At 40.1% G+C, this 13,140-nt stretch overlaps 1 protein-coding gene and 1 pseudogene across 3 annotated transcripts in view; both read right to left on the bottom strand.

The window, feature by feature from the left end:
• The window catches only part of PLAC1 (placenta enriched 1), a 198,485-nt gene extending 190,500 nt beyond the window's left edge, over positions 1-7,985 (bottom strand). For all 3 annotated transcript variants that reach the window (XM_047441789.1, XM_011531257.3, NM_001316887.2), the window contains exon 1: positions 7,897-7,985. The gene's annotated coding sequence lies outside the window, so the exon portion shown is untranslated. The remainder of the gene's footprint in view (positions 1-7,896) is intronic.
• On the bottom strand, positions 3,869-4,011 carry RNU4-44P (RNA, U4 small nuclear 44, pseudogene; annotated as a pseudogene).

Genomic DNA, 13,140 nt, shown 5'->3' on the forward strand with positions numbered 1-13,140 from the left:
ATGTTTTTTTTTTTAATATTTGGACCACCTGGTACCTATATGGTTTTATTTTTTATTTTTTAAATATTTTATATAATAAGCTCCATTTGGAGCTTATTCTAGGGTACAATGTGAAGTATGGGACCAAATTACCTTTTTGTCCAAATGGCTATCCAGTTGTGCCAATAGAATTTATTTAAAAAGTCCATCTTTGCCCCAGTAATAAACTGTTTATTAAATATTACATTTTCGGCCGGGCGCGGTGGCTCACGCCTGTAATCCCAGCACTTTGGGAGGCCGAGACAGGCGGATCACGAGGTCAGGGTATCGAGACCATCCTGGCTAACACAGTGAAACCCCGTCTCTACTAAAAATACAAAAAATTGGCCAGGCGTGGTGGCGGGTGCCTGTAGTCCCAGCTACTCAGGAGGCTGAGGCAGGAGAATGGCGTGAACCCGGGAGGCGGAGGTTGCATTGAGCCGAGATTACGCCACTGCACTCCAGCCTGGGGGAAAGAGCAAGACTCCGTCTCAAAAAAAAAAAAAAGATTACATTTTCATATATACTTGGGTCTATTTCTGGACTTTCTGCTTTGTTTTGTTGATCTGTCTATTCAGGCACGAGTCCAATAATGGTAACAGGTTATACAGATTAATTTTAAAAAAGAATTTGAAGTGACATGAAAAACAAAAGGGGTCAGCTTCCTTTACAGACGAATGGATAGCTAATAAATGTGGAAGGAACAACAGAATTGGGAAAACGTACCTTTGCAGCCACTGTGTTAAAAACTGATTCAGATAGGGATTATAATGAATGCTAAAACTATCAGATGAAAATTATTGGGGAACAGAATATTTACATGGTCATACTTTAAAGATATTAATTGAATATTAATTACAAAGGAGGAGAATGTGCCTTTACATGGAGAAATCTGGATTACACTACTTTGGTCAAGTGATCCAACTTGGCAATAGGACAAATTGACATTGTATACACCTCCTGACGTGAGGCAATGGAAACCACCTATGTGGTATCTTTGCCAAAAGTGTTTAACCTGAATATATTCATGAGGGAACAATGTGACAAATCCAAATTTTAGGCCATGATACAAGATAACTGGCCTAGAGTCTTCAAAATGAATATTTCATGAAAGATGAAAAAAGTGGGAAACTTTTATATGAAAGACTACTAGAGATATGACAAGTACATGAATTTGTATGACCTTTGATCCTGAATTTGGGATCCTTGATTGAAACAAACAAAAAAAAGCTCTAAATGACATTATTGGGGCAATCGGGAAATTTGAATATGGGCTATGAATAAAATAATATTCTGTCAATCTTAAATTTCTTGGGTGTGCTAACAAAATTGTGATTATGTAGGTAAACACCCTTGTTTTTAGGCAATACAGGCTGAAAAAGTGTCTTGATATCTCCAACTTAATGTCAAATGGTTCATAAAATATGTATATATATATATGTATGTTCTATGTAGTGTTATATATATGTATACACACAGAGAGAGAACAAATGTGGCAAAATGTAAACAAGTGTTTAATCTTCATGAAGGGTATATGGGTTTTTATTGTACTATTCTTTCAACTTTTCTGTAGGCTTGACTTCTTTTAAAATAAAAAGTTGCAGCATACAAAATCAATGTACAAAAATCATTAGCATTTCTATATGATGGCCAATAATGATCTAGACATGAAAGAAAAGAAGGCAATCCCATTTACAATAGTTACAAAAATAAAATATGTAGGAATAACTTCAAACAAGGAGGTGAAAGATCTCTATAAGGAAAACTACAAACACTGATAAAAGAAATTGAAGATGACATAGACAAATGGAAAAAAAAAACCCATGCTCATGGGTTGGAAAAATTAATCTAGTTAAAATGACCACATTGCCCAAAGCTATCTATAGATTCGATGCAATCCTTATCAAAATACCAACATAATTCTTCACAAAATTAGAAAAAACAATCCTAAAATTCATACAGAACAAAAAAAGAGTCCAAGTAACCAAAACAATCCTGAGCAAAAAGAAAGCTGGAAGCATCACATTACCTGACTTCAAAATATATTGCAAGGCTATAGTAACCAAAACAGCATGGTAATGGTATAAAAACAGACACATATACCAATGGAACAGCATAGAGAACTCAGAAATAAAGCCACATACACAGCCAACTGATTTTTGACAAAGCCAGCAAGAACTTTCCCTGGGGAAAGGACACTTTCTTCAACAAATAGTGCTGGGAAAAATGAATAGCCACATGCAGAATGAAATTGGACCCCTATCTCTTACCATATACAAAAATCGACTCAAAATGGATTAAACATAAGACTTGAAACTATAAAAACACTACAAGAAAACCTATGGAAAACTCTCCTGGACATTGATCTAGACAAAGAATTTATGACTAAGACCTCAAAAGCACAGGCAACAAAAACAAAAATAGGCAAATCAAGCTAAAAATCTTCTGCACAGTAAAGGAAACAATCAATAGAGTTAAGAAACAACCTGTTGAATATGAGAAAATATTTGTAAACTATTCATCTAATGGGGACTTAATATCCAGAATATACCAAGAACTCAAATAATAGGAAAACAACAAATATTCCCACTAAAAAATGGGAAAAGGACATGAATAGACATTTCTTAAAAGAAAACATACAAACAGCCAACAGGTATATGAAAAAATACTCTACATCGCTAATCATCAGATAAATGCAGATCAAAACCACAATGAGATATCATCTTACCCCAGTCAGAATGGCTACTACTGAAAAGACAAAAAATAAGAGATGTTGGTGAGGATGCAGAGAAAAGGAACTCTTTTTTTTTTTTGAGACAGAGTCTCACTCTGTCGCCTAGGCTGGAGTGCAGTGGTGCAATCTCAGCTCGCTGCAACCTCCACCTCCTGGGTTCAAGTGATTCTCCTACCTCAGCCTCCTGAGTAGCTGGGACTACAGGTGTGCGCCACCATGCCTGGCTAATTTTTGTATTTTTAGTAGAGAGAGGGTTTCAGCATATTGTCCGGGCTGGTCTCAAACTCCTGACCTCTTGATCCACCCGCCTCGGCCTCCCAAAGTGCTAGGAGTACAGGCATGAGCCACCAAGCCCGGCCAGGAACTCTTATACATTGGTGGTGGGAATGTAGACTAGTATAGCCACTATGGAAAACAGTATGGAGATTTCTCAAAAAACTAAACATAGAATTGCCATTTGATCTAACAATCCCATGTATCTACCCAAAGGAAAAGAAATCAATATATCAAAGGGATACCTGCACTCCTATGTTTACTGCAGCACTCTTCAAAATAGCAAAGATACAGAATCAACCTAAATGTCCATCAACAGATGAATGGATAAAGAAAATGTGGTACATATACACAATGGAATACTATATAGTTATAAAAAAGAATGAAATCATGTCATTTTCAGCAACATCAATGGAACTAGAAGTCATATCTTAAGTGAAATAAGCTAGGCACAAAAAGACAAATATTGAATGTTCTTACTTATATGTGGGAGCTAAAAAACTTGATCATATGTAGATAGAGAGTGGACAGACAGATAACAGAGACTGGGAAGGGTGAATCGGGGGTAGGGAGGAGGATGAAAAAAAGTGGGTTAAGGGGTACTTACAAATATACAGTAAGACAGAAGGAATAAATTCAGTGTTTGACAGCACATTAGGTTGACTATACTTAACAAAAATATATTGTACTTGGGTTATGGACACCCTAAATACTCTGACTTCATTACAATGCATTATATACATGTAACAAAATTTCACTTATACCCCATCAATTTGTACAAAAAAATAAAAATTTTAAATTATGAACTTCCATTTCTTTTTTCTTCATTTCTATTTTTAGTTTAGTCTCCATACAGACTGTCAAAAAATGCCAACGCCAACTATATTTCAAGCCATCATGGCGGGGTACTGGGAAAAGTTTTCAATTAGCAATAATCACTCCTCAGATAAACCTCACTGGCTATGATGCTGCCACTGCACAAAACTGAACTTCTATTTCTTTAGAGTGGAAAAAAAATTACAAAATTTTCAGTTTAATTTGGAAGTCACTATCAAACATAATAAATATATATACCTTTTGACCCAGTAATTCCACCCCTAGGAATTTATCTGACATATGTTCAATGTTATTCATTGCAGCATTGTTAGATAATAGCAAAAGACTGGAAGCAATATGTTTCCTTCAATAGGGGGCTGGCAAAATGAAATAGAATAAAAAACAAAGAAGCTCTTTGTGGACTAATATGAAGTCATTTCCAAGATACAGTGTTAGGTTAAAAAAAAAAGGTTAAGGTACATAACAATACCTATAGTATTGTATTTGATAGAATAAATGGCCCCAGCTCTTCCCCTCCCTAAGCCCATACACCCTGCAACGTGACTTTGCAGCTCCTCACATTCCTTGAATCCGGGCTAGCTAGCCTGTGGCTTGCTTTGGTCGACAGAATAAGACAGTTACGTTGTGCCAGAGCCAAGTCTAGGCCTCCAGAGGCCTTCTGTGCTTCTGTTCTTGTGGAGTCCTCACACTACGATGGGAACAAGCCCAGACTAGACTGCTTGTGGGTAAGAGACCTCATGGAGTAGAGCTGAACAATCCCAGCTGAAGCCATTCTAGACCAACCAATCCCCAACTGACCCATCAACTGACCAGCCAAGATGATCTGAGCCTGGCCCTGAATAGCAGATACTCCCAGCTTACCCATAGGCTCATGAGAAAAAATGAATAATTGTTTTAAGTCACTTAGGTTTTTGAGGGGAAAAGGAGAGGGAGGTCATGTAGTAATCGCTCATACAAATATGCTGCCATTTGTGTAAAATTTCAGGAAAAAAAAAATATATAGATGGATTTGTTTACATATGCAAACTTTCTCCGTAAGAATGCATTAGAAACTGAAAACACAATTGCTCTGGGGGAAAGGAGCTATGACAGCTAGGGGATGAAAGTGGGAGGCAGACGTTTTGCACCTTTTGAATTCTGAAGCACATTAATGTATTGCCAATGGATGAATGAATAAAACCTGTTCCTTTTTACTCAAATATTTTCAGAACCCCCAAATCATCCCTGGCCAGGGTTCGGGATCGGGGGGAAGGGAACTCTTAAACGCTATTGACGAGATTATAAATTGGTACAATCTTGATGGGGTGGTGGTATGGCTTTAAGCAATGCCTTATAAGGATATGTAAATATATATGCAATGTACACAGTATCTCTGTTAGAACCTGCCAGAAGCTGGTAACACTGGTTGCTTCTGAGAAAGGATCTGATGGGACTGGAGGTCAAGGGTAAGAGGAAAACTGACTTTTCCCTATATGTCCTTTTTATTTGCTATTTGATTTTTTTACACTGAACTTGTCTTACCTTTCCAAAAAGAAAATAATAAAATGCACATGTCCTCTGACCCAGCAATTTATCACTTCTAAGAATCTCTCCTGAAGAAATACATACAGAAGCGGACAAATTTAAATAAATAACAACATTTACTTGTGTATACTAAAAAATTATAAAGAACCTCAATGATCATCATTTGAGGGTTAAATTATGGAATGTTCACACAATTGCTAAAAATGAACCCATAAACAGTCACCTATCTCAGTGCAGAGCATTCGAGAACTTTTGAAGCGCCCTCTAATGCCCACTTCCAGTCATTCACTCTATGAATGATCACAAACGCAATCAACCCAAGTAACCATCACCCAGGTCCACAGAGAACATTCCAGAACTCTTGAGGTGCCCCACAATACCTACTTCCAGTCATTCACTCTTTGAATGCTGACAAAGGGAACCTAAGCAAACATCAGTCAGGTCACATAGAACATTCCAGAACTGTTGAGGCACCCCCCCCCCAATGACCACTTCCAGTCATTCACTCTATGAATGATCACAGACTGAATCAACCCAAGTAACCATCGCCCAGGTCCATAGAGAACATTCCAGAACTCTTGAGTTGTTCCCTACTGGCTCACTTTCTGCCATTTACTCTCCAGGAATTATCACAAATGAATAAACCCATGTAACCATCACCCAGGTCACAGAGAACATTCCCCCAGAAGATCCAGTTTGTGATAATTCATCAACCTGTATACTTTTTGTATATACATTACATTTCCATAAAAATTTTAAAATATGCATGTGCATCTATTACAAATATGTTCGCCTATGTATAGAAAAAGATAACTAGGGCCGGGCACGGTGGCTCACACCTGTAATCCCAGCACTTTGGACTTTGGGAGGCCGAGGCGGGTGGATCACGAGGTCAGGAGTTCAAGAGCAGCCTGGCCAACATGGTGAAACCCCGTCTCTACTAAAAATACAAAAATTAGCCAGGCGCAGTGGCGGGCGCCTATAATCCCAGCTACTCGGGAAGCAGGAGAATCACTTGAACCCGGGCAGCAGAGGTTGCGGTGAGCCGAGATCATGCCACTGCACTCCAGCCTGGGTGACAGAATGAGGCTCTATCTCAAAAAAAAAAAAAAAAAAAAAAAAAAAGAAAAGAAAAGAAAAGAAAAAGATAATTTGGTACACAAATCAAACTATTACATTATAGATGAAAACGCTGAAGGGGGAGTATTTTTTTACTTTGCATACTTCTATGAGGTTTCCACTTTTTGTAACAAGCTTTTCTCCTCCATAATTCAAAAATAAATAAAAATGAATAAAGATGAAAAACAATAACAGAAATTAAACCACTGCTATGAGATGTTAATTTTGTCTCTGAGGTAGAAATATACATGGTCAGGATTACAAATCCTAGAATTATTAACCCCTCACCTACAACAGCCACAGCCTCTCTTCCCCTCTTCCTCCCCGCATCCCACAGGTCTCCGAGGGAGATGGATGCTTACAGGGAAGATTCAAAGAAACACTTCACCAGCTAGGGCTTTCACCCCAGACTACTTCAGTAGTCATGAGGGGAACTAGACTAAAAATTCCTCTTGCCCAAAGAAGGCAGGCCTCAGTGATCCAGACTAGAAGCTCCTTTCTCTGAGGGCTGCATGCTGACATTAGCTCTGGAGTTCTAATCACTTTTTTAGTCAGAAGAGATAGGTAAGCAAACCAGGCCTTAAGTGCTCTTTAGCCCCACTTTACCTCAGCCCCTCATGTTCCCCCCAGAAGCTAAAGGAGAGAGGTTCCTGACCTGTCTTACCACACCTCACAGGAGAAGAAAAGTGCAGAATAGGCTGGGCACGATAGCTCACGCCTATAATCCCAGCACTTTGGGAGGCCGAGGCAGGCGGATCACCTGAGGTCAGAAGTTCGAGACCAGCCTGGCTAACACGGTGAAACCCCATCTCTACTAAAAATACAAAAATTAGTCGGGCGTGGTGGCGGGTGATTGTAATCCCACCTACTCAGGAGGCTGAGGCAGGAGAATTGCTTGAACCCGGGAGGCGGAGGTTGCATTGAGCCGAGACGGCGCCACTGCACTCCAGCCTGGGCAACAAGAAAGAAACTCCGAAAAAAAAAAGAAAGAAAGAAAGAAAGAAAGAAAGAAAGAAAGAGAAAAGAAAAGGGAAAGGAAAAGCGCAGAATCCCAAAAAAGAGGAAATCTAAAAAGAACCCGGCAAGAGCATTCCACACAGATTCCACAGCTTCTAACTTCTTCATACAGACTGTTCCACACACCACTGTGACCCAATACTTTCCTGGATCGAAGTAATTATGTATATTTTAAGATTTGGGCCATATCTGGCTATGGATCGTTCATACTATCATTTACTCAAGACGTATTTAAATTAAGTCACTTTTCCTTTACTATACGACCTGCCAAGTTTACTGTAATAAAAAGCTTCCTATCACTATGATAAATGGAACATCAGTATCACATGCCACAAACATAAGGTACATATTAGGTATATATTAATAAAGATTACCAAAGGGTGGCACTCCTTGACAGACTCCTCGTGTAAGTTTTCCTCGGGAATGTCTGGAAGACAAGAAGCTTCACCCTCCTCCTAGAGGTGAGAGTGTGTGGTTAACACTTCCCCGGAGATTTACTTTCAGCTTCTCCTATAGGTTCATTCCCTAGTGATTTTCTTTCAGCTTCTCCTATAGGTTAGCACTCCCTGTGGTTTTCTTTCAGCTCCCTCTATAGGTGAGAGTGACTTTCTTTTACTCCCTCTATAGGTTAGAGCGTGGGGTTACCTTGTTCAACAAAATTTTATTGAGTGACTATTCTATTTCAGATAGGATAACGTGGGGTTACTTAGTTTAACAAAATTTTATTGAGTGACTGTTCTATTTCAGATAGGATAGCGTGGGGTTACTTAGTTCAACAAAATTTTATTGAGTGTTCTATTTCAGATAGGATAGTGTGGGGTTACTTAGTTCAACAATATTTTATTAAGTGACTGTTCTATTTCTGATAGGATAGTGAGGGGTTACTTAGTTCAACAGAATTTTATTGAGTGACTATTCTATTTCAGATAGGATGCTAGCTGCTGAGGATACAGAAGGAGAAAATGGGAGAGTTTGTATTATGATTGAGCAAGGGTTGGGAAAGAAAAGAAGGGAAAAAAGGAAGTCGGCAAGTGGACGTAGACTATAACATACACTCCTTATCTCTGTCTCCTAAGATTTGGGCCATATCTGGCTATGGATCATTCATACTATCATTTACTCAAGATGTATTTAAATTAAGTCACCTTTCCTTTACTATACAACTTGCCAAGTTTACTGTAATAAAAAGCTTCCTATCACTATGATAAATGGAACATCAGTGTCATATGCCACAAACAGAAGGCTTGTTTAAACCACTGCAATTCAACTTTGGCTCCTTCAACCTCTAACAGTACACTAATGAGAGCCTCCAGAGGACCTTCTAATTTTAAGATCCAATGGGAAAATTTCAGTCCTCATTTCAATTGACCCTGTAGACCACCACTCTCTCCTTATGGTTCACTAGGCCATCCCTTCTTATCTTCAGTCGGCCTCTTTTTTTTTTTTTTTTTAATTGAGACGGAGTCTTGCTCTGTCGCCAGGCTGGAGTGCAGTGGCGCAATCTCGGCTCACTGCAAGCTCTGCCTCCCGGGTTCAAGCAATTCTCCTGCCTCAGCCTCCTGAGTAGCTGGGACTACAGGTGCACACCACCACGCTTGGCTAATTTTTGTATTTTTAGTAGAGACAGGGTTTCACCATGTTGGCCAGGATGGTCTCGATCTCTTGACCTCGTGATCTGTCAGCCTCTTAAATGATGATGCTTATCAGGATTTTGTCCCTAACCTTCTTGTCTGGATGATCTTCCTGTTTACATCTACAGCTATAGCTTCCACCTACATAAGCTAAAGACTCCCAAATCCCCAAAGAACAGATGAGGTCTGTTTTCCTCTCCAGCTGCATCTCCTATATTAGCAAATTACTAGCATTTCTGTAACGGTGCTTTAGTCTCTTCTCACCTGTATCTTATTTCCCTCTACCTAACTCCTTGACTCATGCCAAGTTTGTTCTTCAAGATTCAGCCTTAGTGTTCCCTCTTCTGGGAAGCATGGGGGGGAGGGGGGTGTTCTCCCTTGATGCTCTCCAACACACTCTATCAGTGCGCTTCCAGTAATCAGTGTGCCTGACTATTCTGTTCTACTGCTCTCCTTGAAGCCATGCTTTTTTTTTTTTGAGATGGAGTCTCACTCTGTTGCCCAGGCTGGAGTGCAGTGGCACGATCTTGGCTCACTGCAACCTCAGCCTCCCAGGTTCAAGCAATTCTCCTGCCTCAGCCTCCTTAGTAGCTGGGATTACAGGGGCATGCCACCACACCCAGCTAATTTTTGTATTTTTAGTAGCGACAGGTTTCACCATGTTGGCCAGGCTGGTCTCAAACTCCTGACCTCAGGTGATCCACCTACCTTGGTCTCCCAAAGTGCTGGGATTATAGGCATGAGACACCGTGCCCGGCCAAAGGCATGAAATTAATCTGCATTTACAGTTCACAGCACAGGGCTCAATAAATATTTGTTAAATTGATGAATGTAAGAAATTCCCAAGCTGTGAACAGTCAAGCACAGAAGATAAGGAGCTTGTGGTGGTTGGGGTGGGTGTGAACCAGGGATATTTAAAACTTGAGGACTTAGATCCTCTTTCCTTCCTTCCATCCAGGCAGCCAGGACTGGCAGGCCATCAGGGTCAGAGCCAAGGAGATGGATGGGGCTGAGGAGGCAGGCCGGGTAGCCAGCTGGCAGGGTAGGAAATTGGTTACACATAGGAGAAAGGAGTAATTACACTGAGATAAACACTGGAATGAACCCTGTGGTACTGAATTGGAATCAGAGGTATAGTTTGAACTCATTATATTTAATAAACAAATATAGATGTGTATATACATTTACATGGTGTATATATACACATACATGTGTTTTTCTCTGTGATCTGAGGCCTTTAAACAATGATGCCCCAATAGCGATGATATACCTAGTTCCCCACCTTGGTTTTTAAACATTGTTCTCTATTAAAAGGAATCAAGGGGCTCCTCAGAGAAATGGCTGATCCCAGGGGCTGGGGCAAGCAGAGTATGAATCTGGGACATCTTGAGCCAGAAAAGTAAAAAACTGCTCAGAAACTGATAGGGATTTGTCCAAAGGACACAGGGACAAGTTGGAGGGGCCCTCATTTTCCAAATCTGAGGCAACTTGAATATCAAAACAATCATGGTAATGAAGTAAAACTAACTAAAACAGGAGTCCATGAGTCCACACTGATGCAAAGTGGTGGAGGAGAGTGTGTTCTCCTTTACAGTAGAATGTCAACTAATAAATTAATGATGGAATTAGAGCCAGCATTAGGTAGCCATCATGATACTATCAGGCAGCCATCATAATACCATCAGACAAGAAAGATCAATGAATGCTAAAACTAGGGGGTCAAAGTTTAATGAGTAAACAGGATATTTATAGTCTCAAAGTACCTCCACACAAAATACTTTAATTTCAATGGGAAAAAGACAGTAGACACCACCTTATCCAAGGGATCAAAGTTATCATCACTAGTAACAGGACAAAGTAACACCATGTGCCTCCTCTAGAAGAAATAGGGGTCTCTCCCCTATTGAAGTAGTCTGAATAAAATCTGTGTTGCTAACTATGTCTGGTATTGTTCCTCTTTGACAAGGGCAAGAAGATATATCTCAGAAACAGTATGAAAAGTCATGCTGAAAAATTATATGCAAGGAATGAAAGTAAGCAACAAGTCAAGGTTAACTCCTGGGTTCTTGGTTTGAGTAGCTGGGTGGGTGAGGGTGTCAGTTACTAAGATAAGAAAGTCTCCTCCTCCAGAAGAAAAAAAAAAGATTTTTTCCCTTTTGCCAAAAACGGCATTATCACAACTATAGGCAAAAACTGAATGGGTCTGTAGATCAGAGGCAGTTTAAAAAAATCTTTTTATTTAAAAAAAATATAGATACCAGGGTCTTGCTATGTTGCCCAGGCTGGTCTCAAACTCCTGGACTTAAGTGATCCTCTCGCCTCAGCCTCCCAAAATGCTGGGAGCCACTATGCTCAGCTAATAGATGGCAGTTTTGTGTCAGTTAATTTTCTGATTTTGATAGTTGTAATGTGGTTATGTAGAATATCTTTAAGAAATTTACGCTGAAGCATGTAAGGGCAATGGGGCATCATATGATTCAGGAAAAAAATGTATACGTGCATATATATATATATGTATATACATCCCCCCCACACAGAGAGACACAGGGAGAGACAGAATGATAGTGCATATATAGGAGAGACAGATAGACAAAGCAAATGTGGTTAAATGTTAACAATTAAGGAACCTGGGTGAAGGATATATAGGAGTTATTTGAGCTACTCTTACAACTTTTTTGTAAGTTTGAAATTATTTCAAATTTCAAAATGTAAAGGTTTTTTTTTGTTTTTTTTTTTTTAAACAGTCTCGCTCTGTCACCCAGGCTAGAGTGCAGTGGTGCAATCTCAGCTCACTGCAACCTCTGCCTCCCAGGTTCAAGCGTCAGCCTCCCAAGTAGCTGGGATTACAGGCGCACGCCACCACATCCAGTTAATTTTTGTAATTTTAGTAGAAACAGGGTTTTGCCATGTTGCCCAGGCCGGTCTCAAACTCCTGGCTTCAAGCAATCCACCCGCCTTGGCCTCCCAAAGTGCTGGGATTACAGGCGTGAGCCACCATGCCCAGCCCAAAATGTATTTTAAAATAAAGCAGCTCATGTTATTTCTTAAAAACTGAAGATAGGGCCAGGCGAGGTAGCTCACGCCTGTAATCCCAGCACTTTGGGAGGCTGAGGCAGGTAGATCACCTGAGGTCAGAAGTTTGAGACCAGCCTGGCCAACATGATGAAACTCCATCTCTACTAAAAAATACAAAAATTAGCCAAGCATGGTGGCGGGCGCCTGTAGTCCCAGCTACTCAGGAGGTTGAGGCAGGAAGAAATGCTTGAATCCAGGAGGCAGAGGTTGCAGTGGGCAGAGATTGTGCCACTGCACTCCAGCCTGGTCAACAAGAGCAAAACTTTGCCTCAAAAAAAAAAAAAAAAAAAAGAAACTGAAGATAAACTTAATAATCTGAATCACACATAAAAGGCTTTTTGCCTGTTTTTTGTTTTTTTAAGATGGAGTCTTGTTCTGTCACCAGGCTGGAGTGTAGTGGCACAATCTCGGCTCATAGCAACCTCCGCCTCCCGGATTCAAGCGAGTCTCCTGCCTCAGCCTCCCGAGTAGCTAGGACTACAGGTGTGCACCACCATGTCCAGCTAATTTTTGTATTTTTAGTAGAGACGAGGTTTCACCATGTTGGCCAGGATGGTCTTGATCTCTTGACTTCGTGATCTGCCTGCCTCAGCCTCCCAAAGTGCTAGGATTACAGGCGTGAGCCACTGTGCCCGGACCCTTTTGCCTGTTTATCTACCCTCATCTTTTTCTAAAAATAATTTATAGAGGCTTATCAATATGTAAAAATTTTAACAAGATAAACCAAATTGAAAACGAGGAAGAAAGATGTATGACCCTGGCAAGAACCTTCTAAGTTGTCAAATTCTACAAAATACTCTTGAAAATTTGATTATGTGGAGAGGTTTCACTTCGTTTTGGCAAACAGCCCCAACTTCAACATAGCTATTCGTTCTTTTGTGTTTCTGATATCCTTTTATTCAAACTTGACCT

The sequence above is a fragment of the Homo sapiens genome, chromosome X (genome assembly GCF_000001405.40).
Source record: "Homo sapiens chromosome X, GRCh38.p14 Primary Assembly".
In the NCBI taxonomy this organism is placed as follows: domain Eukaryota; kingdom Metazoa; phylum Chordata; class Mammalia; order Primates; family Hominidae; genus Homo; species Homo sapiens.